At 41.9% G+C, this 17,951-nt stretch overlaps 1 protein-coding gene across 5 annotated transcripts in view; it reads left to right on the forward strand.

Moving 5' to 3' along the window:
* The window catches only part of RUSC2 (RUN and SH3 domain containing 2), a 71,785-nt gene that overhangs the window by 21,145 nt on the left and 32,689 nt on the right, over positions 1-17,951 (forward strand). The window contains exon 1 of one of the 5 annotated variants that reach the window (XM_047424208.1): positions 8,068-8,211. The exons of the other annotated variants lie outside the window; for them this stretch is intronic. The gene's annotated coding sequence lies outside the window, so the exon portion shown is untranslated. Of the gene's footprint in view, positions 1-8,067; positions 8,212-17,951 lie in introns of those variants that run through there. 5 annotated transcript variants of the gene reach the window in all.

A 17,951-nucleotide genomic window follows, 5' to 3' on the forward strand; every position in this document is an offset into this window, starting at 1 on the left:
GAAGACTGTGAGGTTAAAGGGGGAGAAAAGGAGGGCAGGATGTCTGTCATTCTGTCTGGAACCTGCTGTTCTTGGTCCCCTGCTGTGGCTCCCACTGGCAGTAGAGGGAGCGCATTGCCAGATATGAAGGAAACTCATACTTGAGTATGAGTATGGTATGAAGAGAGGAGCTGTCGCAAGGATACTCCCCCTGCATATTCCAGAAGCCCATCACTGGATTCCCTAGATCCATTTCAGTACCCCACATCCCAAAAAGGAGGACTAGAACTAAGTATGTGTAAATATGTCCACATCTGTAATGAGCCAAATTCTGCTCTGAAGAAATGTTTCCAGTTTATTTGGTGAAGATTTCAGTTCCTCGAACTTAGTTCAACTCAGTAAACATTTTAATCATCTACCCCATGCCAGACTTTAGGCTAGGTTCAGTGACTACAAAGATGAAGATAGCCTCTGTCCTTAGCATGCAATCAAGAAGGAAATAGAAAGTGTATATAAATGGTTATAATATACTTTCTTGCTTTATAATCCTTAGTGCTTTTTGTAATTCTTCTATTTTTAACTCTCCTAAAAGATATATATCAGGTTTATGTTATCTACCTGTAAACTAATGTGCTAATTCAAGATAAAAATATAGGAAAATCTCGGCCGGGCGCGGTGGCTCACGCCTGTAATCTTAGCACTTTGGGAGGCCGAGGCAGGCGGATCATGAGGTCAGGAGATTGAGACCATCCTGGCTAACAAGGTGAAACCCCGTCTCTACTAAAAAATACAAAAGATTAGCTGGGCGTGGTGGCTGGCGCCTGTAGTCCCAGCTACTCGGGAGGATGAGGCAGGAGAATGGCATGAACCCGGGAGGCGGAGGTTGCAGTGAGCCAAGATCGCGCCACTGCACTCCAGCCTGGGCGACAGAACGAGACTTCCATCTCAAAAAAAGAAAAAAAAAATAGGAAAATCTCTTCAGGTATAACTCTTCTTTTACAAGTTTCTCATGAAAGGGGCAAGCACAAGTTTCAAGAATATTTTCATCTAATTTTTTGTTTTTATTTTCATAATTTTCTCAAGCTAATATAAGGCATTTTAGAACTTTGAATATAATTTGAATCTTTTAAAACAACATTTAGCTTTCTCAATGAATTATAATTTGCCCTATGCATGCCTGTAGCTTTTATTTCTTCTCTGAATTAAGGTATTAGGCATTTAGTGGGCACTCATTAGATACCTGTTCTCCCAGTACAGGTAGCTGTTCTCTTTGAGGCTGTAAGTGGGTAGTCCCTCATGTCTCCTGTGCTGATGTTTCATGAGGTCCAGGCTTTCAGGCCTGTGAGGATCCCAGATGGCCCAAAAGAGTCCCATCATCCCACTTATTGCCAGAAAATACAGATGATCAAAAAGAAGATGTGTATGCATTTTTTTTAAATAAAAATGGGATCATACCATGAGTTATACTTTGTTTTCTGTTTTGTTTTGTTTTTCCTTCCTCCTCCCGTCCCTCTTTTATACATCAAGCAAAAGAGCACAGTTACTGTGGTACCAAACACACCTGGGTATGAAACTCAGCTCAGCCACTCCCCAATTATAAAAACATGGACAATTTTTGTAAAACCTCTGGGCCCCTGGGAAATAATAACATTAAGTTTAACCTTATGAAATGGGCATTTTTGCAGGTTAAAAAAAATGCATATTGACCATTTCACATCACCCTAACAGTTCCCTCCTTGTATAGTTTTGTCAGCATTAAATGAGATGATGCACATGCAGTTATAATGTCTGGCAGTGAGGTACTCACTAATGACTATAAATATTAATTGCTACTACTACTAGGATGACGATGATGATGACTGCTAAGAAGCAGAAGCACAAATCAAAGGGAACTGAAAGAGCAGCCATTCTTAGGTTTTCAACCATGGATTTTGGACTTGAGAATTATACTTTGTTTTGTTGTTGTTGTTGTTGTTGTTGTTGTTGTTGTTGTTGTTGCTTGAGACAGAGTCTCACTTGTAAAAGAAGAGTTATACCTGAAGAGATTTTCCAGGCTGGAGTACAATGGTACGATCTCGGCTCACTGCAACCTCCGCCTCCTGGGTTCAAGTGATTCTCATGCCTCAGCCTCCCGAGCAGCTGGGATTACAGACACGTGCCACCATGCCAAGCTAATTTTCATATTTTTAGTAGAGATGGGGTTTCGCCATGTTGGCCAGACTGGTCTTGAACTCCTGACCTCAAGTGATCCACCTGCCTCAGCCTCTCCAAGTGCTAGGATTACAGGCATGAGCCACTGCACCCAACCTGAGAGTTGTACTTTGTAAATTGCTTATTTAAAAGAAAAAAAAACTGTATCATGAGCATAGTTTCATCTTGACAACAATTCTGACACATCTTTTTGTGTTTTGTAGAATACTTCATTGCATGGATTGCATCATGATTTATTTAACCAATTCATTACTGAGGGGATTTTAAAAATATTTTTAAATTTTGGCCAGGTGCAGTGGCTCATGCCTGTAATCCCAGCAATTTGAGAGGCCAAGGCAGGAGGATCACTTGAGCCCAGGAGTTTGAGACCAGTGTGGGCAACATAGCAAGACCCTGTCTCTATAAAAAATTGTTTTAAATAGTATTTTTTTGCTTTTGTAAATAGTGCTTCAACAAACATATATATATATATATATATATATATATATATATATTACTTTATGTGTCTTTATAATGTTATTTCTTTTAAATACGTTTTTATAGAAATAGACTAGAGAGTATGCTTATTTCAAATTTTGCTACATACTGCTTGGCTGCTCTCTTGAAAATTTCATTAATTCATTTGAAAATATTAATCTATGCATCCCAGACACTGCTAGGTTCTGAGTATACACCAACAAATAATGGTAGACAGGGTTCCTGCCCCATGAAACTTGCTGTCTAGTGTTAGAAGCCAAATAAACAAGTATAAAACACAATATAGAGAAGTGCAAGGTGCTTTGAGAAAATACAACCAGTAGCCTGGGAAGGGCCATTGGATTTGGAATATTTTAGCTAAAAACCTAAAGGATGATTAGGAGTTAGACAAATGGAGGGGCAGTGTTCCAATCAGTACCGAGCTGATCCGAGTTGATAGTATGACTACAGGGCAAAAGATGAGAGTGAAGAGGTGATTTATCAAGGCTAGCATATACCTTTAGGGAATTTGGATTTTATGGAAAGCCTTCGAAGGGTTTTTAAGCATGAAAGTGATATAAATAGACTTCATTTGATGTCTATTAAGATGATTCTAGGAAGGGAAACCAGGTTAGAGGTTGATGTAGGAACTTAGATAAGTGATAAATATAGGTTGCTCTTTAGTAGCAGTAGGGATGGAGAATGTGGTAGGATGTATAAAGTAGCAATAGATATGAGTAACAGAAACCCAACACTGGTGACTTAAATAAGATGGAGGTTTTTTTCTCTCATCAGCAACGGAAGTACAGAGATAGATGGTCCTGGGCTAGTATGGCAGCTCCACAGTCATTAGAGACCCACACCCTTTCCAGTTTTTTGCTCGGCTATCTCTAGGCCATCCTTATGGCACAAGATGACCTACTATAGTTCTAGTCATCACAGCTACCTTCCTAGCAGCAGGATGGAGGAAGAGATGAAGAAGGTTGCACCCTGTTCATCATAAAGAGACTACCCAGAAGTTGCACACAACAATTCCACCATAACTCGGTCAAATGGCCACCCCTACTTGCAGGGGAGGGAGAAATGTGGAATTTTACTTGGGTAGCATTGTACCTAGCCGAATATCAGGGTTCTGTTAATTTGAAAGATAAAGGGAGAATAAATATTTGATTGGCAACTAATAATCTGGGACCTGGAAAAGTGGGGAACTAATTTAATTCAGCTAAATTGTTTACAAAATAACAGCTCACACAAAGATACACATATACCACTGTTGAAAAGAGACTTATTTGGCTACGAGGCAAAGATTTAACATTAAAAATCCCGTTTTCTTGTAAAGAGTAAACAAGTGTTAGCTCATGTATGTCTCCAGCTTTGGTAGGAATACAGCTGTATGCATTTGACCTGAATCACTACCATGTAAAAGTGTCATACTTGTGATTTTTAGTACCTTGTCATTCATTAATATTCAGAGTATAGAAAAAGGCAGACCAACAGATTGCTGCTATTTTTTTTTTCAAGCCCACAGCTAACATCATCGATTGCTGCTATTTGAAACAAAGTCAAACAAGACCCAAATTAAGGGATTTGCTTATTGTTTTTCTCTATCAAGGATATTAGCTGTATATTATAGTAGAAAGAGCAAGGGCTTTAGATTGAGTCAGACAAAAATTGCAAGCCCAACTTCTCTACTTTCTGGGTCTGTGATCTTAGATAAAGTTTATCTCTGCAAGATCCTCAGTTTCCTCAACTGTAAAATAGAGATAATAATATCTACTTTGCACGGTTATCATGAGGATTAGAAATGCACTTATGGGCCAGACACAGTGGTTCACACCTATAATTCCGACACTTTGGGAGGCTGAGGTGGGAGGATCACTTGAGGCCAGGAAGTTGGGAACAGCCTGGCCAACATGGGGAAACTCCATCTCTACTAAAAATTCAAAAATTAGCTGGGCATGGTGGCGCGCACCTCTAATCTCAGCTACTTGGGTAGCTGAGGCACAAGAATCACTTGAACCTGGGAGGCAGAGGTTGTAGTGAGCCGAGATTGCGCCACCACATTCCAGCCTGAGCGACACAGCGAGATTCTTGTCTCAAAAAAAAAAAAAAAAAAAAAAAAGAGAAATGCGCTTATGACAAACATCTAGCATGGTGAGTAACATAGTAGATAATAAATAATTGCTAATAATATTAGAAGAATTACTCTTTAGCAATAAGTCATTTGTTTCCTCTAGCTTCTGGTGTGTGGGGAGGTATAACTACAAAGATTCCTAACCATTTCTATATCATTCTTAGGATGCTTCTATAGCAGTTTGCCACCTGTTTACAGAACCTGTAACTATTTGTGATGGTGCCCAGATTAAAGTCAGCCCTAAATTTTTGCTCACCCCTACCCCCATGCCTCTCATCCATATTTACTGTGTCCAAATCCATCTGTCTATTGATAGTTTCCTTGCTATCCACAGCCATACCACATATAGAATGGGGAGTGAGTTCAGGCCTGAGCCAATTCAAGTGTGGATTTGGAACTTGGGGGAAAGAAAAAAAAAGGCCTTGTAGGGGTATGGGATAGTATTAAGCAGAAACAGAAAGATAAAGATGGTTTATGGTTCATTCTACACTCCAGAATGATAATGCAATAAGCTAAATTCTATAGATGGTTTTGAAGTGTTTTATGTGAGGGAAATTAGCCAGTCTGTCAGCTCCAATACAAATAACCTCAGGATTCTTCCTTCACATTCCTCAGTGACTCCTCAGAGGGGAGTTGCCTCTGAGAACCGTGTCAGCCCTGTGGAAAGAGGATCTCTAGGCAGGCCCACCAGGGTCAGAATTCTAAGATACAGACCTTGCATAGAGAGGCCTTTAAGGTCTAGAGTAGGAGTCAATCAGCAAATTATGGTCCCTGCCAGGGTGTTTTCATTCATAAGCTGAGAATGGCTTTTACATTTTTAAAGAGTTGTTGTTTGTTTTTTTAAAAGGGAATTGCTAAGAAAGTAAATTTCAAATATTCTCACCAAAAGAAGGTAAGTATTTGAGGCAATGGATATGTTAATTAGCTTAATTTAATTATTCCACATGATATTCATAAATCATAGTATCACTTCGTGATCCATAGATACATACAATTATAAATTGTAAATTTACAAGAAAAAAATTTTAAAAAGATGTGGCAGTACTATATGGCCCACAAAGCTGAAATATTTACAGAAAGAGTTTGCTGATCCCTGATTTTGAGGCCTCTTCTCTGAAAGGAAGTGGGTCTCACCAGAGGCTGCAGGAGGTTTGAACATCTGTTTTGAATCCCAGGGTAGAGACTTACAGAAAAAGTAGGTGTCACCATCAACAAAGAATAGATTTCTAGTTCTCTTCGGGAGTTCCAGAGACCTGGCAAACTAACCCAATACTCAGGGATCGCTGGGCTAGAAAGACTGAAGGCTTGTGTTAGGTTTAGAATACAGTATCGCCTTTGTTCTGACTGAGCAGTAGAATACATCCCTCATTAATGTTGCTCTCTCAGGCCTTTTAGGCTATGTTCCAGTGAGTCCTGCTGCTGAATGCCACATCAGTGGGATACAGGCCCCAGATCAGTGTCCTGGGCCCACAAACAGGGGAGAATTAGCTTTGTGGCTGCTAGATAGACAAGGGAGTAAGTGAAATTGTTTCTTTTGCTTATGTATTTCTAAATTCCTTATTATAAGTTAGTGGAAATTAATACCTTATGTCTAGGTAAGCATATTCCTATTTCGTCTGTTCCTCAAACCAGAGGTGGGGATTATAGGCCTGAAAGAAGGGCACTGCATCTCTGGGCACAGACTGGGCCTATTTCCTAATGTGGCCACTGTGACCCTAGAAGAGGGAGGACACAGGAGAAGGCCAGGGCGCTCTGCCTGCATGCGTGGATGACCATGATATTTCTGAAATACTTTAGTCTAAAGACTACAGCATTTACATTTCCCTTATTCTTTTTATTTTTCAAATATTTTTTCCTACCACACACCAGAAGATGGATACAGTTAGTCCTTTTACTAGATGGTAAATATGGAGCTTTGAGAGAACAGGTACTCTGCCCCAGATGACCCAGCAAGTTGGAGGAAAACCCAAGAATGAAAGCAGTGTTCCTGTCTTTGGGCATCCTGCCACTATCCTAGGCATGGGTAGTTTCCAGATGGAGCTAAGATCAAACTCCTTTATCACTAGTGATCAAATCTGGTTGTTTCTAAGGCTGCACTGTTGTTCTGATGACCAAGTGGATCATCCTTGAATGACAGGGAAAAAATGTATTAAATGAGTCCCTCACCAGCCTGTCTTCTTGCCAGCACCCTGACTTCTTAAGGTATTAACATGTCGTGTCACTGATGATGACCTAGGATTGCAGGAAGATGACAGAGTCACTGTTCCTGTGTGCTTGGCTGCTCGGCTGTTTTGTTTGCACTTCAGCATTCCTACCTGGTGTGTGGTACATTTTTGTCATTCCACAGCAGTCTGCTGTGCTCCTGGCTCCAGAGTAAGCTAGTCTACATCTATTTACATCAGCTTTCCAGCTGTCAGCCTCCTCATGCTCCTGTCTGCCTGATGGGGCAAGTAGACACTCTGGCAGGAGCTGCCTTTCAGGGAGGTTAGCAGGATATCCACAGAGTTCCAGATACTGTAGTCAAAGTATAAAGTCCCTAGGACCCCAGTCTCTAGGTCTTGCAGGGATGAAGAAGCTTTCAGGAGATTATCTAGGCACAGCTCCTGGCCCAACAAGATTTCTATCCTAGTGTGTCATGTCTAGGAAAAAATCTCTGGTGGCAGATTTTCAAGGAATTTGATGTACGTGCTAAAAACTATACAGATCGGTTGAGGACTGGCCTAACCCATCCTCTGTCTCAAATTCCTATAAAACCCTCCCAAACAGGCTTTTTCTTTTTCTTTACAATGTCAGCACTCAGTGCCCTAGTCTGGGACTTATGACTGATAAGGCTGAGCTTCTGGGTAGTTGAGTGGCAGTCTTTCTTTGTTTTTATTCAGATGATTTCAATGCAGCCAATTTGTGTGTGTGTATGTGTGTACCCTGTCCAGAACAACAGGGCCTACCTGACTCAAGAGAGTACTATAAGCAACAGCTTTCAACTTGAGGTCCATCTGGTCCCAGAGGTTTGGCACTAGACAGCTGGACATATGAAAGCTCTGTTTGTTCCCCTTCGTCTTCCCTGTCCTGTTTAATGCTGAACTGTTTTCAACAAGACTTGCTTCCCGTAGAATCCAACTTAGTAACCTGGAGAAGCCTGAGGCCACTCCTGGAGCAGGAAGCTGCCCTAGATTTGGGCAGTAACCAGTAGAACTTGATACTGACGCCAGAGCGTAAAAATAAACACCTCCTACAGTTCTGTCTTAATCCATTGGCATCAGAGTTGCTATTATTAACCCATAGGCCTCACAGGCAGCTGTGATGGTCAGACAACAGCCTGGACAAAACCTATCCTGCCAACTTGGGATCACACTCTCTCCCCTTCACCTACTGGAATATGATCTGGGGCCCCAGGAGAAGCACCATCAGTCTAGGAGCATGCCCTACAACAGGTAACACTGGCGGTGGATTAGTATCTTTGGTTTTGGAGAGCCTTGAGGCTCCCAGGGCCAGCCTACCAGCCTAGAGTATGATGGCCACAGACAGGATGACTGATTCAGTCCTAGTGTGGGGGAGGAAAAAAAGGAATGTGACCCTTCCATTTCCTTTGGCTCTTTTAAAGAGATTTTGCCTGCCACTTCCCTGACCTGAAGACTTTAGATTTTCTGGGAAATTGGGACAGGAGAGAGGAAAGAGCTCCACTGGTCATCTGCCAAAGATATAATAATAATAATGACTTATTACTAAGCACCTACCATGTGTTGGGTACTTTATGTACAATATCTTACTTATTTTTACTTCAAGCTTTTCAGGGAAAATATGACAGTTTTACAAATGAGGAAGCTGAAGTTTTAGTGAGGTTGAGTGACCACCCAGAATTCCACAGCTGGCAAGTAATGTGTCAGAGTTGGACCCAGACTTGTCTTAACACCAAAATCCATGTTGTGAATCATTATAGAACCTAGGCTGCTGAATACTCAGGACCCAGGCCAGGCTTCAGCTACCTGCTTTTTAAATGTGGGGGCTTAAGTAAACAAAAATATATAAGTTACTCTCACTTTAGTCTTACAACTAAAGCAATAGTTACTGGTACACAGAAATGGTTTTTGCTGCCACCTGCGAGTGAGCCAGTCCCAGTGCTCTTACTGTCCATGGTGAGCTGGACTCCAGAGACTAGCAGGGCAAGCCTCCTGGAAGATGAGATGCCTCCCAGAGAAAGGCTTTGACTCTGCCTGAGGAGTCTCAGACCATGACTCCTCTGTAGAGAACATGGCCAGATTGGAACCTGGTTCCCCAGGGGAACAAGGCTTTGATGGTTCTGGCAGTCATGCTGAGGGAGGGGTGTACTTGAATAAAAAGATTCCTTGAAGGACAACTAGGCTTCCCCCACCCCTCTCTTTTTCCAACCTCCTCCACCCTGGCCCCACAACTGGCTTCTGTAATTCAATCTAGATTCTTCTCATAGCCTACTTTACTGTGCGTATGTGGCCTTTTATTTACAGCTTTGGGCATTCTGATTGGATAGCAGCTTCCTAGTCTGTGTGCTTCAGTCCACTGCCTGTGGGGTGGGGGAGCAGAGTACACTTTGATTTTTGCTTCCTGAAGCCCAGGAGCTAAAAGGAATAGCCAGAGGGCTGCCCACACAGCCAAAGGACTGACCACACTGAGCAGTCAAAGAGCAGCATAGGGGCCTTTTTTGTTCCAGCTAACTTTCTCCTGCAAATACACACTTGAGGGCCATCCTCCAAGCAAAGCAGTCTGTGCTGGGGCTTTCAGCATCCACCCCTCGTACACTGTCTCTGGTCTTGGTGGCTTCCTGCTCCCTTGCTGCTCACCTACACCTAGCATTGAGAGACTTTAGCCTGTGGGCCTTACTCACTGCTGCTCTCTCCATCACCTCATCTGAAGAACTCGGTCTGTCAAGGTAGGAACCAAATCTTTCCTTATTCCCTATAGTCTTCCTCTCTCCCCCTAATACATCCTCAAAAGAAATAGGGTTTACAACAAATTCCCAGTCTCTAGAGACTTACAGCTAGCAGTTAGAAGCCAGGCACCTGGGAGTATAGGTGTGTTTATGTGTATTTGTATTCATGTTGGAATGCAGGAGGTCATTTTTTTTAACACACTGCATAGGAACCTTCCCTTGGGCTCCAGGTTTTAATTTGGCTTAGGTTATAATTAGACCTGAAAAGGACCTTAAGAGGTCATCTGATTGAGCCCGCTGCTTCCAAACAGGTGCTACAAGTTGAGCTAAGGAGGGAATCAAATGGTTGGCCTAATGGAGAAAGGTGTATACTTTTGCTGGCTGGATCAGCAGAAGAAAATAATTTTTTGTTTTCTAGATTGAATCCCTTTTGAGCATAGAGACCCTAGGGGCAAAGCTAGGTTTATTATCATCAGATTTTAATGGAATAAAGAAAAGCAACTCTTTCAGCTCAGTGAGGTTCAATGGCTCTAGCTTATTCTTTTCCTGGGTATACTTTCCCAATGCTGCAGTCTCCATTTACTGAATTGGAGCCTTGGGCGCCTGGGGTCTTTTACCTTTTAGGCTGCTAAGCCCATTCTACTTCAGAGCCAAGCCTCTTCTGGAATGTTTGTCTTTGACTTTTGGGGGTGGACGTTTAGCTGAACTTTTCTACAACATATGTGAGAAGCCAAAAGCAAACCAAGTTCTGTGCTTCGAAAGAGGACTCTATATTAAGGAAGCCTAATAAGGCAGCAACTGGTGTGTCTGGGACAGCCCTTCAGGCTAGGCCCTTTCAACACACTCCCAGCATGCCGTCTGGCCTCACTTGGAGTCCAAAATAACATGATACGAGTTAGAAACAGTGGCCTCCTCAGCTAGCAGCAGCTACACTCTACTTGGAGGAAAGACAGATGACCTCCTGGGCATTGGCTGCTATTCCATTTATGGAATCAGACTCCTGATGCCATAGCCAGGTGCTCTCAGCATCTAAGAACTTGTTTATTCTCTCTTTACAGTTCAGTCCTAGACACCCACAGGAATCACTGTTACCACCAGTTCTGAAATCTCCAAATTCTTTGAGCCTCTCTCACACATTTCACAGAGAAGTACTTGTCCTATAGGAAACTCAGAGCCTCCATCTAATCTCATGGCAAGGGTGGAGGGTAGCTGACTTTCCAAATTCGTGTACAAAGTTTATTTCTGTTCTGGGAAGTTAGGTTTGCTATTGGTGAAGTTAATCAACATCTGTTTACAAACATTTGATTTGGGAGGCATGAAAAAAGAGAGATGTTTCTGTCAGTTAATTATTTCACTCCCCATATCTCTAACTCCCAACAAACTATGGTCAGTTCTGCCTTTGCCTAGGGTTCCCTGGAGGTGCCTCTGGGGCCCCCCACAGTAAGGAGAGGGAATTGGAGTGCATGGGGCATTAGGCCTCCTCTGCTTCAACCAGGGTAGCTGTTTTATGTATTGGGGCTGAAAAATTAAAAGCATTGCTCTAACCCTTACACCCTGAAACTTTCTTTTTGCTGTTCTGGCCTCCAGAGGCATATTGGCAATTATTTTAACAAAATTATGAGCCCCTCAAATTGGGCTATTACCCCTGAACATCCAGCATAGCTCCTTATACACAGGAAGAATACAGTAGATGCTTGTGGCTTGATTGCTTGCTTGATTAATTGGCTCACAAGATGATATTAATTGATAGCCTCAGGATAATTCTAGATCAGAGAATAGAGTACAGTATGTAATAATTTATTTTGATTTGTTATGGTTTGAGCATTTCTGACCTTTGCTACTGGAATCAATCATGCAGTCTGAGGTGAAAACTTAGCCAAAAGGAATTACCTTAACTGAGGTTGTCGCTGTTGGAGAGGATACCCAGTAAGTCAGCACAAACAAAAGTACCTTCTGTTGATTTCCAAAGATTTGTATGATTTCAATCCACCTCTGTCCCTGGTGTACTGAGGTGAAAGGTCAGCAGAGTGATTATTGGGAAGACCAGGCATAGAGGTATACTAAAATCATATAGTCCTGTCTATTGATTAGTACTGCTTACTTTTGCTAAAAATTACCTTCTTGGACAGTTCCCAAAACTACTCATTGTCTTGATTGTGGGAAATGCAAAACTTTTCTCTGCTAAGCTATACTTATTAACAACATCTAAACTGTTTATCTGCAGCCTGCATTATACATCTGCATATCTTTTGTGAGGGTGGCTTTGTTTTTAATTAGCTTATATGTTTTATAAAATTATAATGTTTTTTATAAAGCTAAATAACAGGACATAAGTGAAAAAAGCAGCCACATTCAAATAAAGTCTGCCAGTTCAGTTAATTGTAATGTACTCAATGTTAATTGCTTTGTTTTAACAAATGTACCTTGATTACGTAAGATGGTAACATTAGGGAAACTGGTTAAAAGAGGTACAGGAACTCTGAACTATCTTTGCAACTTTTTATAACTGTAAATTATTCCAAAATAAGTAGTTAGCTTTTAAAAATTCATACACAGCAATAAAGGTCTTCACAATGAAAAAAAAAGCCAAATAGTGGCTGGGCGTGGTGGCTCATGCCTATAATCCTGTCACTTTGGGAGGCTGAGGTGGCTGGATCCTTGAGCCCAGGAGTTTGAGACCAGCCTGGGCAACATGGTGAAACCTTGTCTCTACAAAAAATACAAAAATTAGCCAGGCATGGTGGTGCATGCCTGTAGTCCCAGCTACTCAGGAGGCTGAGGTGGAAGGATGGCTTGAGTCCAGGAAGTGGAGGTTGCAGTGAGCCAAGATAGGGCCACTGCATTCCAGCCTGGGCAACAGAGGGAGACTCCATCTCAAAAAATTAAAAAAAAAAAATAAAAATTTAAGCCAAATAGTGCCAAATCTGGGGCAGTCTGAACATCAAAATCAGTAATGGATTATGACCCACTGACTTTTTAAAATCCAGGGGTCCATATTTATCCTAAATCAATAAATTAAGAAAGGAAGGAAAAGGGAAATCTTTATTATGTTAGAATGCCAACTAATCAATGTAGAAGGAATAATAGAAAATTGTCATTTTTTGGCCAGGCGCAGTGGCTCATGCCTGTAATCCCAGCACTTTGGGAGGCTGAGGTGGGTGGATCACTTGAGGCCAGGAGTTTGAGACCAGCTTGGCCAACATGGTGAAACCTGTCTCTGCTAAAAATACAAAAAATTAGCTAGGCATGGGGCACATGCCTGTAATCCCAGCACCTCAGGAGGCTGTGGGAGACGGAGGTTGCAGTGAGCCAAGATAGGGCCACTGCACTCCAGCCTGGGCAACAGGGTGTGACTCTGCCTCAAAAACACAAAACAAAACAAACCTGTCATTTTTCAACCATCATAGTAAATAACTGATTCAGATGAAACTCATCAATGGATGCTAAAATGATTGGATGAAAGTTTGATGGGAACAGGTTATTTATCTAATCTAAAAGTAATCTCTCCATAGATTGCTTATTAATTAGAGGAGAAAATGATAACTTTACAATGGAGAAACCTGACAGACACTATCTTAACGAAGGACTAGTTCAAAATTAGCATCATCAATAAAGTGATAAAATGACCTCATGTGTTGGGTTTTGTCTTGTTTTGTTCTGCATTATGTGTTTCTCCCAGACTCCTATTTTATGTTTTTGTTGTACTCTTTGTTTTCTGTTGGAGGCTGCCCTCAAAAGTCTGGTGATCCCAGGCCGGGTGCAGTGGCTCACGCCTGTAATCCCAGCACTTTGGGAGGCCGAGACGGGTGGATCACAAGGTCAGGAGATCGAGACCATCCTGGGTAACACGGTGAAACCCCGTCTCTACTAAAAATACAAAAAATTAGCCGGGCGTGGTGGCGGGCACCTGTAGTCCCAGCTACTCGGGAGGCTGAGGCAGGAGAATGGCGTGAACCCGGGAGGTGGAGCTTGCAGTAAGCCAAGATCGCACCACTGCACTCCAGCCTGGGGGACAGAGCGAGACTCCATCTCAAAAAAAAAAAAAAACTCTGGTAATCCCTTGGCTACTGATATAAAAATGAGCCATTTAAAAACACTGGAGGTTCTGTGAGAGTGGAAAGATATATCAACTGGCAAACTTGTCTGGTGGGCAGGTGGAACAGGCTGGCCTTTTTTTGTGTGGGGAAACCCCCAGAGAATTTGACATTCTTTTCTCTGAGGTAGTTCAGTTTCTGCAGAGAAATAATCTACCAGGGGTAGGGTGGGATAAATAAGTCTGGCTGTTGGTATTATCCTGAAATAGAAGGAAGAAGTCTAGCAATTCTTTGGAGATTTTCACCTAACCCCTCAGTTTTCAGATTGGCCTCTCATCCTGCTTTCTTCCATGCCTTGTTTTCCAGAGTCGAATGCAGTTCCACTCAAAGTTCTCCAGAAATAAATCTCCAGTAATCCTGAGGAGCAGGAGACCAGTGGTCTCCTGACAGTGTAGGGTTGTTGGTGGGGACTGGGTGTCTAATTACTTCTTCTACAAACTTTAACCAACATCCCTATTTTTTTTTTTCCTTTAAAAAGAATTTTTGGTCGAGCACGGTGGCTCATGCCTGTAATCCCAGCACTGTGGGAGGCCGAGGCAGGCGGATCACCTGAGGCCAGGAGTTCGAGATCAGCTGGCCTACACGGCAAAACCCCGTCTCTACTAAAAATACAAAAATTAGCCTGGCGTGGAGGCACACTCCTGCAGTCGCAGCTACTCGGGAGGTTGAGGCAGGAGAATTGCTTGAACCCAGGAGGTGGAGGTTGCAGTGAGCCGAGATCGCACCACTGCACTCCAGCAAGCCTCAGCCACCTTTAAACATATTTTTTAGGCCAGGTGTGGTGGCTTCTGCCTGTAACCCCAGCATTTTGTGAGGCCTAGGTGGGCGAATTGCTTGAGCTCAGGAGTTTGAGACCAGCCTGGGCAACATGAAACCCTATCTACCAAAAAAAAGAAAAGAAATACAAAAATTAGCTGGGCGTGATGGCACGTGCCTGTAGTCCCAACTGCTTGGGTGGTGGCCATGCAGAGTGAGTTCCTAGCATTTTAACAGTGCTTTATATTTCTATAAAATGGTCAGTTTACAGAGCACTTTCATGTACTGTTTTGAATAGACCACTGTTCAGATCTATAGTAGGGGGCATATGTTTCCCCTAAGCCTTCAACTCCCCATAAAGTAGCCTGGTCCAGGCACAGGAAGACTCAGTAACCAATGTTTATATTCATGCCTGCTTTATTTTGAGCACCCTGGATCTCTCTATTGCTTATGAAAGCTGCCCAGACCACTACTGAGTTCTGGAAGATGCTGGGATTGAGGAGTGGGGAAAGGTATCCATATCCAGTCTTTTCATGTTTCTCCAAGGTTACCGTCCTATTTTGGTCAGAATTGTGTAATCTCCTTTGTGGGGGTTTTGGATATTAACCAACATCTTATCACTTGATAATAGTATCACACTTACTGGGTATTTACTGTATGTCAGGCACAATTTAAGTGCTTGATAGTATTAATTCACTTAATGTTGGTGGTATTTTCATCACCATTCTACAGGAAATGGGGGCAGGGAAAGGCAAGATAACTGGCCTAGGATTACACAACACTCAAACAGATATTACCTCATCTTGTTAACTATTAAATGTATTGCATTCAGATTTTACTTGGTGTGGGGTACAGTGGCTCATGCCTGTAATTCCAGAGCTTTAGGAAGCTAAGGCAGGAAGATCACTTGAGCCCAGGAGTTCAAGGTTGCAGTGAGCTGGGATGGTGCCACTGCAGCCTGGGCAAAAGAGAGAGACCCTGTCTCAAAACAAAATAAAAGCCACACAAAAAATTTTTGCTGATGTACAGTTTAGATACTTGTTACTGATATTCTTTATCCTGAGATAGTTTTACTTCCTGAATCCATGGATTCTTGTTTTCTAATAACTTCTGAAATATTATCTGTCATTATCTCTTCAAATATTACCTCTCCTTGATTCTCTACCAAAGATTCTGATTATAAGTATATTAAACATTTTCATTCTATCTTATCTCTTAACTTCTCATTCACTTTTCTGTTCCTTTGTTTTTTTGTGCTGTTTCTATGTGATTTCTTCAGATCGATCTTCCAGTTCACTAATTTCTCACTTCAACTTTGTCTTTTCTGCTGTTAAATTTGTCCTTTCGTTGTTTTTTTTTTCTTTTTTGAGACAAGGTCTCACTGTGTCACCCAGGCTGGAGTGCAGTAGTGCTTTCATGGCTCACTTTAGCCTCAATCTCCCAGGCTCAAGCAGTCCTCTAACTTCAGCCTTCTAAGTAGCTGGGACTACAGGTGTGCACCACCACATTCTGCTTGCTTGCTTGCTTGCTTGCATATGTATGTACATGTGTATGTATCTAGTGACAGAGTCTTGCTATGGTGCCCAGGCTCTTACCAAATTCCTGGCCTCAAGCAATCCTCCTGCCTCAGCCTCCCAAAGTGCTGGGATTACAGGTGTAAGTCACTGCACCTGGCTGAGTTTTTATTTTAATAATTATGTTTCTAACTTCTGAACATATTTCGTTCTTTTTCAGATCTGCCTGGTTATTTCTAATAATTCATTGCCACTCGCTTACCTTTGAGATTTATCTTTTATTTTAAAACATTTCACACATAGCTGATTTATATTCTGTAACTGACATTTTTGGTATCTGAAGTTCTTGCAATCTAAATACATTATTTATTGTTTTCTCTGTTATTTGCTCATGGCATCTTTGTGATCATTAATTATAAACTAATTTTTCTTGATCTTTAATTTTGAGAATTTTGTTGACTTAGATTGGGAAATATTTTCCCCCAGAGAAGATTCATATCTGCTTCTACCAAAAGCTGTGGAACACCACCTACCATGGATCATGATGAACTTCCTTCAGGCTTCCCTGTTTCTGCTTAATGCAGAACTCTCAGGTTTAGCTCCCTCACCTTCCCAGTGGCTCAAGTATGGTCATCTTGGCTGCAGTGATGCTCTGGGAATTGGCTGACAAGGAACCCTGGTTCTCCCCCTTGCTTACTGCATAGCTCATGAATTTTTCCCTTTTTGGGGAATTGGGTAGAGTAGTCACAGAGATGTCTCCTATATACTGAGAGACCTGAAATGCTTTTAAAAGTATATATTGCCCAGGCACTGTGGCTCATGCCTATAATCCCAGCGCTTTGGAAGGCTGAGGCAGGAGGATTCCTTGAGGCCGGAAGTTCAAGATCAGCCTGGGCAACATAGCAAGATGCCATCTCTACAAAAAATTTAAACATTAGCCAGGCATGGTGGCACATGCTTGTAGTCCCACCTACTTGTGGGGGCTGAGGCAGGAGAATTGCTTGAGCCCAACTCAAGGTTGCAGCGGGCTATGATTGGGCCACTGCACTCCAGCCTGGGTGACAGAGTGAGACCCTATTCCTTTAAAAAAAAAAAAGTATATATTATACAGGATCTCATATTTTTCATATTTTGCAGTGAAAGGGGCCCTGTAATGTCTTGATTACCATAATGTGGGAAGCAGAATTCTCTTTATGCGATTTGATACCTTTTTTTTTTTTTTGAGATGGAGTTTCGCTCTGTCACCCAGGCTGGAGTGCAGTGACGCTATCATAGCTCACTGGAGCCCAAAAGTCCTGGGTTCAAGTCAGCCTCCTACCTTAGCCTCCCAAGTAGCTAGGACCATAGGCATGTGCCACCACATCCAACTAATTTTTAAATTTTTGTGTTGACAGTGTCTCGCTTTATTGCCCAGGCTGGTCTTGAACTTCTAGGCTCAAGCAGTCTTCTCTCCTCAGTCTCTCAAAGCACTGATATTTTACTTTTTAAATTAGCTTAAAAGGGCCGGGCATGGTGTCTCACACCTTTAATCCCAGCAGTTGGGGAGACCAAAGTGGGAGGCTCTCTTGAGGCCAGGAATTCAAGACAGACCTGACCAACATAATGAGACCCCCATCTTTAAAAAAATTTTTAAAAAAAAATTGTAAAAAGTTTAAAAAAGAAAACAAAAAATAAATAAATTAGCTTAAAAGCCTTTTTCGATACCATTGAATATACCTTGTATACCCAATATTAATGGTTCTATTATATTCCGTTACATGGGTAGCTCACTAGCCATTTTTCCATTGGATATTTAGAATATTCTCAATTTTTCTCTGTTGCAAGTAATATTGCATTGAACATCATTGGGGAAATATGAGGCAAATCAAGGAGGGTAGAGATATAAAGAAAATGCATAACTGTTA

Source organism: Homo sapiens, chromosome 9 (assembly GCF_000001405.40).
Source record: "Homo sapiens chromosome 9, GRCh38.p14 Primary Assembly".
Lineage (NCBI taxonomy): Eukaryota > Metazoa > Chordata > Mammalia > Primates > Hominidae > Homo > Homo sapiens.